General features: G+C 40.8%; 1 protein-coding gene and 1 non-coding gene across 10 annotated transcripts in view; both read right to left on the reverse strand.

Moving 5' to 3' along the window:
* UBAP2 (ubiquitin associated protein 2) overlaps nt 1–18,435 on the reverse strand; it is a 127,507-nt gene that overhangs the window by 23,305 nt on the left and 85,767 nt on the right. For 8 of the 9 annotated variants that reach the window (NM_001370059.2, NM_020867.2, NM_018449.4 and 5 more), the window contains 4 exons: nt 15,829–15,881; nt 11,082–11,149; nt 8,288–8,477; nt 3,377–3,590 (listed from right to left, as the gene is read on the reverse strand). In NM_001370059.2, the coding sequence (NP_001356988.2) occupies nt 3,377–3,590; nt 8,288–8,477; nt 11,082–11,149; nt 15,829–15,881 (525 nt within the window). The remainder of the gene's footprint in view (nt 1–3,376; nt 3,591–8,287; nt 8,478–11,081; nt 11,150–15,828; nt 15,882–18,435) is intronic. The other variant, NR_163243.2, reaches the window with a different exon arrangement.
* SNORD121A (small nucleolar RNA, C/D box 121A) lies at nt 7,767–7,857 on the reverse strand. The gene has a single exon (NR_003685.1). It is a non-coding gene; the product is annotated as a small nucleolar RNA, C/D box 121A (small nucleolar RNA).

Here is an 18,435-nt window from a genome sequence, read left to right on the forward strand (position 1 = left end):
CTCATGCCTATAATGCCAGCACTTTGGGAGGCTGAGGTGGGAGGATTGCTTTAGCCCAGGAGTACAAGGCTGCAGTGAGCTATGATTGCACCACTGCATTCCAGCCTGGATGACAAAACAAGACCATGTCTTCATCCAAAAATTAAAAAAAAAAAAACTTATTAAGTTTTTGGACTAATTGATATATATATATATATGATGTTACAAAATCCAAAAGATGGCTGGGCGCAGTGGCTCACGCCTGTAATCCCAACACTTTGGGAGGCCGAGGCAGGCAGATCACGAAGTCAGGAGATCAAGACCATCCTGGCTAACATGGTGAAACCCCATCTCTACTAAAAATACAAAAAAATTAGCCGGGTGTGGTGGTGGGCACCTGTAGTCCCAGCTACTCGGGAGGCTGAGGCAGGCCCTATGACGTGAACCCGGGAGGCGGAGCTTGCAGTGAGCTGAGATGGCGCCACTGCACTCCAGCCTGGGTGACAGACTGGGTGACAAACAAACAAACAAAAAACAAAATCCAATAGATACAAGAATATGTATGACGAATATTATGTTTCTCTTCCACACCACTCTCCCATACTTGCTCCACAAAGGCAAACACTGTACCCGGTTTTCCTGAATGTCTCTTTCAGAGATACTATATCACAATATATATAGACAGACAGACAGACAGACATATATATACACACACTATATACCTTACTGTCTCACAAATCATTTAATTTCCATTGAGTGTCTCACATTAATGTTCAAAGAGCTACTTCATACTCATTTTGGTGACTACACAGAAATCTAGTACACATAGGTATCATTTTATAAAACCAGTACTATATTAATGGACTTTTAGGTCAAATCTTATGCTATTAAAAGCAATGCACTAATGAATACATTTGTATGTAAGATATTTTGTGCAAGTACAAGTATACCTGTAGGATCAACTGGTAGGATAAAGTTGCCCCTTCACAGGGTAAATATATTTTGAATTTTGATAAATATTATAAAATTACTGTCCACAGATAGAACACATCCTTTTTAACACACTCTAATATCAAACACTTTTGAATCTCCTGGTTTAATTGGTGGAAAATGGTATTAAAAAATACAAACTAAAATGATACAAATGTGCTAAGTATCATTTCATATACTTAAGTGTTCTTTACTTATAGACTGTTCTTATCTCTTTAGCCAGTTTTTTAACCTGTTTGTTGATCTGCTTTATTTTTACTCTTTTTATATTAAGGAAATTAACTCTTTTTGTCTATGATACAAATTTTGAGTATTTTTTTCATTGTTTGTCTGCCTAATTTGGTGTTTTCTGCCATACCCAGAAAGGTCTCCCTCACACAGAACAACAAAAAAATTCTCCTGTGTTTTCTCTATTATAGTTCTAGATTCACTATTTATGTTTAACTATCTGACCCACTGGCATTTTGGCATAGAGATCCAACTTCATTTTTCAAACGGTTTTAATAAAGCGTTTTTTCACTACTGATTTGAAAAGCCAGTTCTACCATATGGGACAGAGGTTGGCCCTCTTTTTCTCTATGGGGCCAGATAGTACAACAACCTAATATTTTAGCCTTTGTGTCTCATCACGTTGCCCAGGCTGGTCTCGAACTCCTGCTCAAGCAATCCTCCTCCTTCTGCCTCCCCAAGTGCTGGGATTACATGAGCCACTGTGCCCAGCTAGCTGAGTGTCAACAGAATTTAATTTAAAAAAAAACAAATGGCAGAGCTGGTTTAGGCGCATTCATTTTTGAACTTGGTATTATAGGCATGCACCAAACACACAGGTTTTATAAAGAATATGGGAATAGCATGGTTCTATCTAAAAAGTCCTATCACTCACTAGTTATGTGTGCAGAAAAAGTTAATATAGGGACCTACAATTCCTCTCAAAAAGGCCTGCTTGATGACTGGACCTTGGCTAATGTCTGAGAATTTGGACTGCTGGTATGTACTTGGCAAAGGGTGCCAACACACTAACCTATTAAGAGTGGCTCACTGTGCTAAGAATGTCTGTATAAACAATGTGGTTTATGCTCAACATCTGCTTTCCTTCTAGGAATCTGTAATTTTGCTATGTGCTATAGCAAAAAATGTAGGCACAGGGTACCTACATTTCTTGCCCCAGCAAAAACTTTGGGCACTGAGTCTCTAATGATTTCCCTTGGTAGACATCGCTTCAAACCCCGGAGTGGTCTCATGTACTTCCAACACAGTAAGTCATTTCACAGAACAGAGGAATATGCTTCCCTGTCTCTCTATATGCCCTAACCATAAACCAGCCCACATGGCCAGCTCCACAATGAATGAAATCCCCTGCTATTCCTTAATACAGTGTGGCATGTGAGTGCTGGTGGGGAATGGTGGCTTAATGTCACAATTTCTGTGGGAGTTTAGTTTAGAAAACATCCAGTCTACACATGGGACCTTTACAATACAAACCACGGAATGTAAAGGTTGATGAAATCATAGTTGATACTTCAAAATGTTAGAATGAGAAAGCATGAGAGTGTGATAGTTAAAATACTGTCCAGGCCGGGCGTGGTGGCTCACACCTGTGATCTCAGCACTTTTGGAGGCCGAGGTGGGCAGATCACCTTAGTCCAGGAGTTCCAGACCAGCCTGGGCAACATGGCAAACCCCTGTCACATTAAAAAAATACAAAAAAATCAGCCAGGAGTGACGGCATGTGCCTATAGTCCCACCTACTAGAGAGGCTGAGGTGGGAGGATGGACTGAGCCTGGGAGGTCAAGATGGCAGTGACGCGTTACTGTGCCACTGTACTCCAGCCTGTGCAACAGAGCAAGATCCTGACTCAAAAAAAAAAAAAATAAAATAATAGAGTAAAATATTGTCTAGGCTGGATACAGTGGTGCACATCTATAATCCCAGTTACTCAGAAGGCTGAGATTAAAAGACTGCTTGAGGCCAGGAGGTGGAGATCAGCCTACGCAGCACAGGAAGACCCCATCTCAAAAAAAAAAAAAAAAAAAAAAGTCTTAAAATGTTTTCCACATTCTATGTTCTATCACCACCCTCTTCTAAGAGAGCTCAGAAAATTCTGTCCATGCATTTACACAAAGTGTTAGATGTTCATATTTGCATGCTTTTACCATACTTTTCAAGGCATGTACTACCACCACAATTACTACCAACAATAATGAAACTATCAAGAACAACAACAAAAACAAATAAATGCAAGTATTGTATAACAAAGGAAGACTGATTTAACTGAGAAACTGCAAGAGTTCTACTAAAAAGAAACATCTCTGGACAAATTCCACATTAGTCTTCACAAGTCAACACACTCTGCCAAAGCTTGAAACGTCCTCAGTAGGGGCAAACCCACAAACAATGTATACCTACCAAGATGACTGAGGACTGAGGACTGGGATGTTGGGGGCTTGAGGTCCCAAGAAGTAGTAGTTGTAGGGTGACTTGTACTATTCTGCTGTGTACTTGGGGTGGTGGTAAACTGGCCCAAACTCGGAGCTTTCAACTGGTCCAAAATCTGGGAGCTGGTGATGTTTGCCATTTTTGGTGGTGCAAGCTCTCCAAATCCTGAGCCAAGGACGGATGACTTTAAAAGGGGGATAAAAGAACAAATCCTCAACAATACAGAATTTCTGCCCAAGGCTTTAAAACATATCAAGTATTTTCACAAGTATGTTAAAACCTATAATCTAAAACATATGAATTACTAAAATATAACTTAGAAAATACTACATGAAAATATTACTATGCAATGAAAACTGACTAAATAAATGCAGCTATCCTTCCTCATTCTGACATAAGAAGTTAAAGGGAAGGGAAATATTTGCCATGAATTTGAAGAAATCAATTTTTAAAAACGTGATGTTGGCCGGGCGCGGTGGCTCACGCCTGTAATCCCAACACTTTGGGAGGCCAAGGTAGGTGGATTACAAGGTCAGGCGGATCACGAGGTCAGCAGATTGAGACCATTCTGGCTACCACAGTGAAACCCCGGCTCTACTAAAAATACAAAAAAATTAGCCGGGAGTTTTGGCAGGCGCTTGTAGTCCCAGCTACTCGGGAGACTGAGGCAGGAGAATGGCATGAACCCAGGAGGCGGAGCTTGTAGTGAGCAGAGATCACGCCACTGCACTACAGCCTGGGCGACAGAGCAAGACTCCATCTCAAAAAATAAATAAATAAATAAATAAAAATAAAATAAAATAATAAAAAGTGATGTCATAAGTTCACAATTAAATATCACTATTTAAAAAAACTAAAGAGGAATGCCATGAAATACATGACAAAGATATGCTTGACCAACAAAAACACATTATTTTCCTAGTCTGTGAACCACAGTCTTCATCTTTAATGATTACAAGATGTACAGTCAAAGAAGAGATCAGTGTGAGATGACCCTGCAAGATCAAATACAGGTCAGGCTGGGCGCAGTGGCTCACACCTGTAACCCCAGCACTTTGGGAAGCCGAGGTGGGTGGATCACCTGAGGTCAGGAGTTAGAGACCAGCCTGGCCAACGTGGTGAAACCCCGTCTCTACTAAAAATACAAAAATTAGCCAGGGATGGTGGTGAACGCCTGCAATCCCAGCTACTCCAGAGGCTGAGACAGGAGAATCGCTTGAACCCAGGAAGTGGAGGTTGCAGTAAGGTGAGATCGCACCACTGCACTCCAGCCTGGGTGACAGAGCTTAGACTCGTCTCTCATGTGTGTGTGCGCGCATGCACGCGCACACACGCACAAGATCAAATACAGGTCAAAGAACTGAACTTCAGTGGTTACTATTCCAAAATGAGACACTGCGATACATAGGTATTTGAAGTTGAGCAAATACCATAGACACTGCTATTTTCATTTCAAGTTGTTTAGATGACTAAGAACACCAAATACGTTCCATAAATAAGTACAGGAAAAACAATGTTACTCCTGCCCCATCTGTCCTGTCAGGTCGAGATCCAAAGAGAATGAAAGCCTATGACTAGAAAAGACAATGGAAGATCAACTACATTTTTACATATCAAGATCATTCTGAAATATAAGTTCTTCATCAAAAATAACATTTCTTTTCTTTTCTTTTTTCTTTTTTGAGACAGTCTCGCTCTGTCACCCAGGCTGGAGTGCAGTGGCGCGATCTCGGCTCACTGCAAGCTCCGCCTCCCAGGTTCACTCCATTCTCCTGCCTCAGCCTCCCGAGTAGCTGGGACTACAGGCGCCCACCACCACGCCCGGCTTTTTTGTTGTTGTTGTATTTTTAGTAGAGACGGGGTTTCACCATGTTAGCCAGGATGGTTTCCATCTCCTGACCTTGTGATCCACCTGCCTCAGCCTCCCAAAGTGCTGGGATTACAGGCATGAGCCACCGTGCCTGGCCCAAAAATAACATTTCATATCCATTTAAGGTCAAAAACAAATACTTTGCCTTCCCTCAAGTAAGTTGAAACAATTACTTCTATTATCAACATTCAAAGACAAGGAATGTCCCACTTGGATGGAAATCCTAACTTCGCTTTGAGTAAAACATTAGGTTATGGACAGCTGTGACAGAGATTGCTCATACTGAAACAGTTGTGCTAACATTACTTATCACTGCTCCAGATTCTTTTTTCAGGTTGCCCAATACACTGGTCTGAGGTTGCTACCAATTTGCAAAAATCCAGCTCAAGCCCACTGATTTAATGAAGGCTTCCCAGGTGATGACTCTCTTCATCCTGTTATCCTACATAATCCCTAACATGCATCAGCTAGTTTTATCAAATGCACTATGTGCTTTACAACACAGCGAAATCACTGAATCAATGACTACTGCCATGTCCTAGGTAATACACAGCATAGGCCTCTTAAGTCCACCTACACATTTAAATCAATGGAGAGACTTTTAAAATGTATACAATACACACATGTGCATACATGCACATACACACAAACACACACAGTGCCCAAATCCCAATCCCAAAGATGAGGACATGTTTTGTTTTAGAGACTTGGGAAATATCATCATCACTTCTGTTGCTGCTGTTATTTACTAGGTTCATTATTAATTATTATTTGGAGACAAGGTATTGCTGTCAACCCAGGCTGGAGGGCCACAGAACAACCTCCTGGGCTCAAGTGATCCTCCCATGCCAGCCTCTCAAGTAGCTGGGATTACAGTAGCTATGATTACAGGGCATGTGCCATGACAACCAGCTTATTTTATTTTAGCAAGATGAGGCCTCGCTATGTTGCCAGACTGGTCTCAAATTCCTGGCATCTCATAATCTTCCAGCCTCAGCCTCCCAAAGTTCTGGGATTTACAGGGATGAGCCACCATGCCATGCCTGGCCTCCCCAATGATTTTTTTTTTTTTTTTTTTTTTTTTTTTTTTTTGAGATAGAGTTTCTCTCGTCGCCCAGGCTGGAGTGCAATGGCATGATCACGGCTCGCTGCAACCTCCACCTCCCGGGTTCAAGTGATTCTCTTGACTCAGCCTCCCAAGAAGCTGGGATTATAGGCGCCCACCACTACGCCTGGCTAATTTTTGTATTTTTAGTAGAGATGGGGTTTTACCACATTGGCCAGGCTGGTCTCAAACTCCTGACCTCAGGTGATCCACCCACCTCGGCCTCCCAAAGTGCTGGAATAACAGGTGTGAGCCACCGCGCCCAGCTCCCAGTGATTTTTAAAGATTAGAGTAGGGTCGAGAACCACTGCTCTAATACAACGCCACACAAACAATTCTTATTCTGCCTTCTCATGTTGGTCATTCTCATGCTGGTCACTACATAAAGCAACATATCTGAAGATTGCTGTAAAAACTCAAGTCCTTCTTATCAATTCAGTGGACACACATAGATTTCAGCAAGGGCATTACATAATTATACCAGTAGCAGAGGGAAAGGCGGAGGAGGAAAAGACTCTGGTGCGTCAATTAAAAATCAGGGTTTTTATTAGGCCTTCTCAAAATAGAGAAGCCTTGGGCTGTTCTACTTCAAGCACTGACACCACCTCATATACCAATGATACTAAAAACACCAAGTCCCCAAGCCCAACACATGATATGGCTACACAGAGTAGAAAATACTAAGGAAAAGTTTAAATATTCAATTCTCAATTTTATCAGGGTAAAACAAACGATTTGACTCGGGAGAAAATTCTGTTTCTCAGCAATAAATTTCAGGAAAAACACAGCAACAAACTAAAATAATTATCCCTAGTAAGAGCTGTAGTTCTGCATCCATAGACCTTTCTAACTTCCCCTTGCCAGCTCAGAACTTCCTGTAGTTGGGTAGGAACTTCAGTTCACCATTCTAAAGCAACATTCTTGTATAAGCTATGATCTAAGCTTATACTTCCATAAGCCTATCTTCACAGCCTTCACTAACAGTTTCTGAAGTTCCTTCTGGATGGGAGCTTAACACACATTGGAAGTCAGTCATACAGTACTAAATGACACTGTTTCAATAAAAACACATCCAAACTATAAGGGCCTCTGTTAATCATTTGGCATTTTAAGAAAATGTAGCTTATTTTACGGTCTTAGGGGGAAAAAAAAGCAAAAAATGTAAGCGCCTAGGCAGACTCAGACTGTTTTTACATGATTTTATAGCAAGTCAATTCTGATAAACTTTCGCATTTAATTGGAAAACAAGAAATTGAATATACTAACTATAGAGACATAATATGAAACAAAACACAAGGAAAACATCATTCAGAAGAAAGGGGTACTTTCAATCTCAAGAGTGATCATCAGTTCAAAGAATTTGACAAACCATAAAAAAATTTTTATCTTTGTCCAGGAAACTCAGGTAGTTAAATTCCACATGGAATCATCAGATATGTGCTTGGAAATTACCACATCATTGTTTTCTGGACTAAGATCTACTGTAGAATTTTTTGATGTTTTGTTTTAGAGACAGGGTCTCGCTCTGTCACCCAGCCTGGAGTACAGAGGCATGATCATGGCTCACTGCAACCTCAAACTCCTGGGCACAAGTGACCCTCCAACCTCAGCCTCCCAAGTAACTGAGACTACAGGCACACAACACCACACTCAGCTAATTTTTGTTAGTTTGCTTTTTTCGTAGAGACAGAGTTTTGCCCAGTCTGGTTTCAAACTCCTGGGTTCAAGTAATCCTCATGCCCCAGCTCCCAAAGTGCTGGGATTACAGGCATGAGCCATCATGCCCGGCCTTACTGTAGATATTTTTATATTTAGAAAGTAATTATAAAGCATGTATCATATTCTAGAATACATTTGCTAATGGGTATATTTCTTAAAATCCCACACTGAAATAAAAGTGAGTTACCAGGCTCTGAGGAGAACAGGAGTTGACGGCAGTGGAGCTGCCAGTCCCTGGTGCCATCTGATTGTTGTGTTGCGAATTTGTGAAGACAAGGGCTTGGCCAAAGCCCTGCTGTTGGGAAGTTTCAAAGGAGTTGGCTTCTGAGGCTTGACTGTGAGGAACAGGCTTCTGGAGCAAGGCTACCAGATCAATGCTAAGCAGACAAAAAGCAATGAGGAACCAGTCATAAGCAAATCTTACCAACAAATGAATGTGAGAAGTCAATCAATATATAGTGAATTTACATTAAAAATCAAATGAGGAGAACCTTTGGAAAATGGGGTTTAAGGGGGCAAAAGGAGGGCATCATCCACACAAAAGAACATACCAAGCCACAGAGACTGAAGCAGGGTTTTGCAGAGAAGAGAATCAAAAGGTGTATTGAGAAATTTTCAAAGTAATGACTAACACATTATAAACTGATTTGAAAACCTGGAGCAATAAAGTAAAATTAAACAATTTTCTCAAGTTTGGTTCATTTTACCTAGAATATTTTACCCATTTATTACCTAAAACCAGAGTTCCTAATAAATCCATATTTCTAGGGAATGAAGACCTCACCTGCAGTAAGCAATTCAATAAGTTTCACTTTTTTTTTTTTTCTAAGACAGTGTCTCACTCTCTTACCAAGGCTGGAATGCAGTGGTGTGACCCTGGCTCACTGCAACCTCTGCCTCCCAGGCTTAAGCGATTCTCGTGCCTCAGCCTCCCGAGTAGCTGGGATTACAGGCGTGTGCCACCATGCCCAGCTAATTTTTGTATTTTTAGTAGAGACAGGGTTTCACCATGTTGGACAGGCTGGTCTCAAACTCCTGCTCTCAAGTGAGCTGCCTGCTTTGGCCTCCCAAAGTGCTGGAATTACAGGCGTGAGCCACCCTACCTGGCCAAGTTTCATATTTATCTTAAATTTTTACATTCTATCCCATAATACATTTAAGTGTGTGTATATACACACACACACACACACACACACACACACACGCCCATATAATTTTATCTTTAAAATATTCAGGAATAAATGCACAGTATAATAACAAATATACTGTTAACCAGAACTCTTAAAACACCCCCCAGACAGATATTCCAATTTGGACTACCTGACAACAATGAGCTACAAACTTCCTGTACCAACTCTTTTCTAAACTTACCTAGTGTAGTAGGACCTGCCAGATGCACCGTATTACCTAACCTTGTAATGAATGCCATTGAATCCTTTCAAAGGCCAGTTCCCATCAGTTCTCCTAACTGACATTCTCACCATGCCAATAAGACAGGCAGATTACAGGACAATTCAAGACTCATTCCTGACACATGGCAAAGTTCCTAGCCTGAGTTCCTCTCCCTTATAGACTATAGCCAAGTTGAATTTCATGACAATGATCCCAGTAAATTCACTGAATCATAAATACAATAGAGAATATGTGCATTTAACAACAAACTCCAAACAATCTCAAAACAATATACTATAAGACATAATCATTAATCATTTTTATTTCCCTACAATGAAATCTCATCACCATCTCATTTAGCATGAGATTGATCCTGTTAGGTTCAAAACTGCCTTCATTTCTAAGGTATCATATGTAACCAGTCTTTTATCTTTCCAGATCACTACACTTTGAAACCACTTTCAAAGGTGTTTAGTGTGAAAACTAGAATATAAATAAATGCTCTTCAGTCATTTGTTTCAGTGTACATTCTAAGAATGTGGTTATCCCATAAGTTCCTTCCTTTTCTGTAATCTAGCAGAGTAAAACTAGTAGAACTCAAATAAAATAAGAGATCTGTATTAGTTTCAGAAGATCTAAATAAATGGTACATGAAGAAACCAAAGAATACAATGTATTAAGTTCATTCTGTCAAAAAAAAAAAAAAACAGGTCTACAAAAGTGAAAATAGCAACCATTAAAAAAGTTTAGGCCAGGCGCGGTGGCTCACACCTGTAATCCCAGCACTTTAGGAGGCCGAGGCTGGCGGATCACGAGGTCAGGATTTCGAGACCAGCCTAGCCAATATGGTGAAACCCCGTCTCCACTAAAAATACAAAAATTAGCCGGGCGTGGTGGCAGGCGCCTGTAGTCCCAGCTACTTGGGAGGCTGAGGCAGAAGAATCACTTGAACTCAGGACGGCGGGGGTTGCAGTGAGCCGAGATCGTGCCACTGCACTCCAGCCTAGGCGACAGAGTGAGACTCCGTCTCAAAAAAACAAAACAAAACAAAAAAAAGGGCCAGGTGTGGTGGCTCACATCTGTAATCCCAGCACTTTCGGAGGCTGAGGTGGGCGGATCACCTGAGGTTGGGAATTCGAGACCAGCCTGACCAACATGGAAAAACTGTCTCTACTAAAAATACAAAATTAGCTGGGCGTGGGGGCGCATGCCTGTAATCCCAGCTACCTGGGAGGCTTGAGGCAGGAGAATCACTTGAACCCGAGAGGCGGAGGTTGCAGTGAGCCGAGATAGCGCCACTGCACTCTAGCCTGGGCAACAAGAGCAAAACTACGTCTCAAAATAGAAAAAAAAAAAAAAAAAGTTTAACATGATGTCTGCAACAACTGCTAACAAATTCATCAGTGGATACATCAATTAGAAAATGATTGAAGCTCTGTCAGATTTACCAAGTAGTGGTAAAATAAAAGTTAGCCTTGGATAAAAAGGGAAAAAATAGAAAGAGACCCAAAAATGAAAATACTTTTCCTGAGGCAAAAGATTTCTGTAATGCTTTGAATAACAAATATAAGATGGCAAAAAGTATTTACCTTTGCCCAGGTAAGATGTGATTCTCTGCTGGAGCAGATGAGGCAGTGAAGACCTTTGTTTCAGAAAGCTGTATGGAAAGTTGAAAAATTTAATCTTATTCTACATACTACTAAACCCAAAACACTGACTTCCTGATCATTTGTAGTCATCAGTAGTCTCTTACACTTCGCATAACAGCTATTCTAAAGAAAATGAAATATACAAGTGACCATGACAAGTAATTTTCAAGTGAATGCAATTTTTTTTTTTTTTTTTTTGAGACAGGGTCTGGCGCTGTTGCCCAGGAAGGAGTGCAGTGACGTGATCTCGGCTCACTGCAATCTGTGCCTCCTGGGTTCAAGCGATCATCTCGCCTCAGCCTCCTGAGTAGCTGGGCCTCCAGGCACGCACCAGCATGCGCCACCACACCGAGCTAATTTTTGTATTTTTAGTAGAAACAGGGTTTTGCCATGTTGCCCAGGATAATCTCCAATTCCTGGCCTCAAGTGATGCACCCACCTTGACCTCCCAAAGTGTTGGGATTACAAGTATAAGCCATGGCGCCCGGCTGCAAGTGAAGGTAATTTTAGATTGAAAGGCCTACAAGAATGACTTCAAATCAGGAAAATGATGAGACTAATGGTAAACAACACAGTGAAACACTCAAACCAGGGCTCAACCGCAGACTCACTTCTCTATTTGTCATTACACAAAATGAGAATACCAATAAACCCACCAACAATGCTAACAGAAATGCCAAAAAGAAGTTGAGAAGGTGGCCAGGAATGGTGGCTCACACCTGAAAGCCCAACACTCTGGGCAGCCGAGGCAGGAGGATTGCTTGAGGCCAGAAGTAAGGCTTCATCTCTAGGAAAAAAAAAAAAATTGGCTGGTCGTGGTGGTGTGCACCTGTCCCAGCTACATGGGAGGCTGAGGCAGGAGAATCGCTTCAGTCCAGAGGTTGAGGCTGCCGTGAGCCATGATCACACCACTGCACTCCAGCCTAGGGGACAAAGTGAGATCCTGCCTCAAAAAAAAAAAAAGAAGAAGTCATTAAGAAGTTTGTAAAGGTGAAATAATCGATGTTTTCTCCCCCCAAAGACAGATGTCTTTAGTACTTAATTGATCAGTAATTTTACATTTCATTTTTATTAAACCATGAGTTTCTATTATTTTTAAAAAATTAATTTTATCACATTCTAACACATCCAATAAACCGCAAATATTCAAACCAAATAACTGAATAAGTCTGGCATACATAGGCCCCCATGAAACCATCACCACAATTAGGACGGTGAACATATTCTTTACTCCCCCACAATTTCCACCTGTCCCTGTGGAATCACTCAATCCCACAACTTGTCTGCATCCCCAGGCAACCACTCACATGCTTTCTGACACTACAGATTAGGCTGCATTTTCTAGAATTTTAAATGAAATCATAAAAGTATCCAAACCTTTATTCCTGGCTTCTTTCACTCAGCATAATTATTTTGGGATATATGCACACTGTTTTAACTCACTTTTAGGGCATTCAGGATAAATTTTTTGAAACCTCAACTGACATTAATAAAAGATACATATTCTTTTTATGTTTTCAATGTGGGGACTCGGCTTTGAAAGGCTGGAAAATGTTGATCTAATGAGGTAACACGGAAAACATAAAAATGCTACTCAAAATGTTCCCATAATTCTTATCAACTCTAAATGTCTCAGAAACACTGTATAAAACCAGACTTCCTGCATGACATACTATGTGTAAGCAGGAGGTAGAGGAGACAGTAGGTGTTCATTTTCTTCAACAATATAAAAGTGCTAAATTGTTTACCGGTTCAACAAGTCAACAAGAAGGGCCTAAGTTGCATCCTATTCCAAAACAGGGTGTGTGGGAAGGGTTTTTTTTTCTTTTTTGGGAGACAGACCTTAGTCTGTCACCCAGGCAAGAATGCAGTGACATGATCACTGAGGCTCACTGCAGCTACAAACTCAACCTCCCAGGCTCAAGCATTCCTCCCACCTCTACTTCCTAAGTAGCTGGGACTACAGGCACCTGCCATCACACACAGCTATTTTAAAAATTTTTTGTAGAGACAGGGCCTCCCTATGTTGCCCAGGCTGCACTTGATCTCTTGGGCTCAAGCGATCCTCCTGCCTCAGCCTCCCAAAGTGCTAGGGTTACAGGCATGAGCCACTGTGCCTGCCCCAAGGTAGTATATTTTAATATTCCCAGTGAATCCATTTTTGCCTGAAACTTACAAATTAAATCGATTTACGAAAAAGAGAAAAAATAAATGAGAACTACTATAAACATTGACATATCTAAACATGATAATAAAACACTGAATGGTTCCCCACCCCCTTTTTTTTTTGAGATGGAGTTTCATTCTTGCTGCCCAGGCTGGAGTGCAATGGTGTGATCTTGTCTCACTGCAAGTGCCTCCCGGGTTCAAGTGATTCTCCTGCCTCAGTCTCCCAAGTAATTGGAATTACAGGTGCCCACCATCCCACCTGGCTAATTTTTGTATTTTTAGTAGAGACACGGTTTCACCACGTTGGCCAGGCTTGTCTTGAACTCCTGACCTCAGGTGATCCGCCCACCGCAGCCTCCCAAAATGCTGGATTACAGGCATGAGCCACTGTGCCCGGCCTTTTTTTTTTTTTTTTTTAAAGGAAGGGCCAGGCATGACGGCACGCACCTGTAATCTCAACTACTTGGAGGCTGAGGCAAGAGGATCCCTTGAGCACAGGAGTTTGGGGCTGGAGTGAGCTGGCCAACAGTGCAAGACCTAGTCTCTAAAATTAAAAAAAGGCCGGGCGCAGTGGCTCATGCCTGTAATCCCAGACCTTTGAGAAGCCAAGTCGGACAGATCACCTGAGGTTAGGAATTCGAGACCAGCCTGGCCAACATGGTGAAACCCCGTCTCTACTAAAAATACAAACATTGGCCAGGCATGGTGGCGTGCATCTATAATTCCAGCTACTCAGGTGGCTGGGGCAGGAGAATCACTTGAACCCAGAGGCGGAGGCTGCAGTGAGCCAAGATCGTGCCTCTGCACTCCAGCCTGGTGACAGAGCGAGAGCAAGGCCCTGTCTCAAAAAAAAAAAAATTAAAGTACTTATTTTTTACAAGGTAAAATGAATCTATCTATGGTAGTGGGTTGTTCAAACACCACTTAAAACCCAAATAATACTGTGTGTGAAGGAGTAGTAAGACCCAAGGAACAACGCCCTGCCTAAGGTCATTAAACAAGTCAAGTAGAAATCATGTTTCTTGTTTCTCATTCAAAGCAGGTCCTGTTAGCATAAATGGAAACACATATGGAGACAGAGAAAAAGACAGAATCTCAAAGTGTGCGTCATTGTATATAGTTTTGAGGATCTGTATTTGTAACCCATTTATTATTTCCCTCTCAATGTCTGCTCAAACTCTGTGTCAGACAGATACCAAACTCAAGAGTTCTAGAACTTGACAGTCAAACAGAAAAGAGGTATAAAATTTTATGGTATTGGGTTATTTATCCCTTTTTTCTCTTTATTATTTAACTTATTTTTCCAAAAAAAATACTATGCTGAAAGCAGAACTTATAGACTGACAGTACCCAGAAGCTAGTGTAACATGCTCAAAAATATCTGTGCAATAAAGGAATTTTTTTTAAAAAAAGGTTCTTCTAGTCAAAAGGGGAAGAGGTTGGGCATGGAACCAGAGCAAACTTATTCAGGTTAATTTCAACTGTGATCCAAAATACAGACTCCCCTTTAATGAAAATATTCTAAAGAATAATAGTTCACAAATCTGGGCAACAGTGTCAGCTGGCTATCAGGTCAAACAAAACACAGATAAGCTTAAAAAAAAAATCAATCCTACTTAACACCTGGTAAATTTTGTTTGTTTGCTTTAAGATGGATTCTTGCTCTGTCACCCAGGCTAGAGGGCGGTCGAATGATAATGCAGCCTTGAACTCCTGGGCTCAAGAGATCCTCCTGCCTTAGCCTCCTGAGTAGCTGAGACTACAGATGCACAACCCCACACCCAGGTAATTTTTTTATTATTTTTTTTTTTGTAGAGACAGGGGTCTCACTTTGTTACTCAGGCAGTTCTCATATTCCTGGCTTCAAGTGATCCTCCTACCTTAGCTTCTCAGAGTGCTGTTGTGAGTCACTACGCCCAGCCTAACACCTCAACCTTTTTTCTTGTTTGTTTTTTTCCAATCTCCCAATCATCTTGACAATTGGTCATTTTTAAGCACAAAAACAAATATTCTTAAAAATCTGAAAATCTAAGTTCCTTTTAAGAAGCATCTGCTAAAAAAGCCAACCCTCAAAAACCCTGGCTACGATACATGCCAGAAAAGAAGCCAAGATGAGATAAGATGTCTCAGGCTCTTTCTTCCAAGCACCAAAGTCCCCACCAAACACCGAAAGAAAGACAGGTATCGGCCAGGCGCAGTGTCTCACGCCTATAATCCCAGCACTTTGGGAGGTTGAGGCGGGTGTATCACCTGAGGTCAGGAGTTTGAGACCACCCTGACCAAAATGGTGAAACATCGTCTCTACTAAAAAAAAAATACAAAATTAGCCAGGCATGGTGGCGCACATCTGTAATCCCAGCTATTTGGGAGGCTGAGGCAGAAGAACTGCTTGAATCTGGGAGGCAGAGGTTGCAATGAGCCAAGATCACGCCATTGCATTCCAGCCTGGGCAACAAAAGTGAAATTCCATTTCAAAAAAAAAAAAAAAGAAAGGTCTCATCTGACAGCAAACACTTACATCTTCAGTCCAGTCTTCTGTTGTCCACTCTTCCACAGAATTCTTCCAAGCCCCTGTTGGGAAACAACAGCAATCAAAGTTTATACCACAAAGTCAAATACAGTCTCAGTCCAAATGATTCCTTTTTGTGTACTATGCGGGGAAAAAAGATACATACGCCTCACTAGCAATTTAGTTTACAACCCAAGAAACATGACGTTCTTAATCTATTCTCGGTAAAATCAGTAATATTTCTTTTCTCCCCTTCTCTTTGAAATAATGTTTACAAATGCAACTTGACTAGTAGTCACTATCTACATAACCTCAAATCAGTGTTTCAAATGGATTTTGCTTCAATATAGGTCACATCCAAGCAATTCTGCCATGAGTAAGAAAAGTATGGATGTAGCACAAATATAGACATTTAACAATGGTTTGATTTCTTCCGATATAGTCTTCAAAACAACAAATTTCATTTTAAGGCAAATCTGTCTTGGACCCTATTTCAGGTGGATTACTGAATTATCAAATTTAGAGAAGCATCCTTTTAATAAAATATTAGCTCTACTACATGGCTTCCTAATAGGTCTCCAGCAAAGTTCAACATTACTCTTGCTCATATCAAGTCTGCTGCTTTAAGTTCTGGAGTCAGTACACAGGATGCGCTCAAACAGTTCTTACAGAATACTCATCCATAACACATCTAAGTACTTTCAAAAGTGTTGCTACTCAAAAAATACTTACTTACAGATCTTATATAAGTAGAGGGCCATTGTTTACAGCATGTATGAAAAAAATGCCCATAGATAATGGTTTTAAAGGAAATACACTAAGAAATTAACGACAACCCCAGAAAGAGGGATTATGGATGTTTTCAGTTCCTTCATAAGAAGAAAGGAGTTAATCATCTGACAAACAAAATTCCATTTCTCTCCAAAAGTTGTGTATGGAGAGGGAAGAGGAGGAGCATGCTTGTGAGACAAAAGAAGTCAGGTAACCATGTCTACCTTCCTTAGAATCACGTAAACAGCCAAATAACTGACCTCCTCATAAGTAAAATGATGATTGTTTCCTAGAAAAAGAGTCCTTATTTATGGAATGTTTTTAACAGGATGTACCTGATTTCAGATTGGGGTGGCTCTCTGTGAAATGTGATGTAAACTGTGCCAATATTTGGATGTAAAATACAGATGTTTCAAAACCGAAAACATTTAATTCTGTCTGAGAAACCACTAATACACTGGAAATTTGGAGGATGAAGTTAATGAAAGCCAGAATTGTAAGAGAAAGCTTGATGGCGAAGATAAACATACACACACAGGGATATAAAGGAAAATTTCCAGGAGAAAAACAATGATGAAACATTACAAAAACCTACATAAAAAATATTAAAGTACTCTAAAGCTTAAAATATACATTATTTTTTCTAATTTTTAAAATTGCACAGCTCAGCCACTATATGTACAGTTAATGTAGTAAGTTAAAACAGACTTTTATACATGATATGTAGTAAGAATGGCCTACCATGGCAATTCAGGAGACATATTAAAAGTTTAAAAAAGGCTGGGCATGGTGGCTCATGCCTGTAATCCCAGCACTTTGGGAGGCCGAGGTGGGTGGATCACGAGGTCAGGAGTTCAAGACCAGCCTGGTCAATATGATGAAACCCCGTCTCTACTAAAACTACAAAAATTAGCCAGGCGTGGTGGCGTGTGCCTGTAGTCCCAGCTACTGAGGAGGCTGAGGCAGGAGAATCGTTTGAACCCAGGAGGCGGAGGTTGCAGTGAGCTGAGATCATGCCACTGCTCCAGCCTGGGCAACAGAGCAAGACTCTATCTCAAAAATAAATAAATAAATAAATAAATAAATAAATAAATAATTAAAAAATAGGGCCTGGAGCAGTGGCTCATGCCTGTAATTGCAGCATTTCGGGAGGCAGAGATGAGTGGATCACCTGAGGTCAGGAGTTTCAGATCAGCCTGGCCAACATGGTGAAACCCCATCTCTACTAAAAATACAAAGAATTAGTCAGGAGTGGTGCCTCACACCTGTAAATCCCGGCTACTTGGGAGGCTGAGGCAGGAGAATTGCTTAAACCCAGGAGGTGGAGGTTGCAGTGAGCCGAGATCGCACCATTGCACTCCAGCCTGGGCAACAAGAGCAAAACTCCATCTCAAAAAAAATAAATAAAAATAATATAATAAAAATAAAAAAGACTGGCCTACCACTTTGAGAGCAGTATTTTGAAAATAATTAAACACAACTTTGGACTTGCATAATAGGGTGAGAATCTGAGTACATTTAAAAGCAAGTACAAGGCACTATGTATGTAGCCTGAAGGAAAAACAGCGAAACAGATAGTTATAAGCAGAGATGCAACATGATAGAGTGGTAAGTCAGGAAATTACAGGGGAAACTCCCATGTGAGAAGCAAGTGCCACGTTGTTGCAGGAACTAGCCATACCCACACAGACTATAAAAAATTCCAGACATTAAATACAGAAGGCAAAGGCTCAGGTCCTAATCATATTTTGGAATATTAAAATTTTAATTTGGTCATTAGACCTACACCACAAAATATAACGGAAAAACTTCAACAATCCTTATTTTCAGCTTAAAACAATATAT

This window comes from Homo sapiens, chromosome 9, assembly GCF_000001405.40.
Source record: "Homo sapiens chromosome 9, GRCh38.p14 Primary Assembly".
Lineage (NCBI taxonomy): Eukaryota > Metazoa > Chordata > Mammalia > Primates > Hominidae > Homo > Homo sapiens.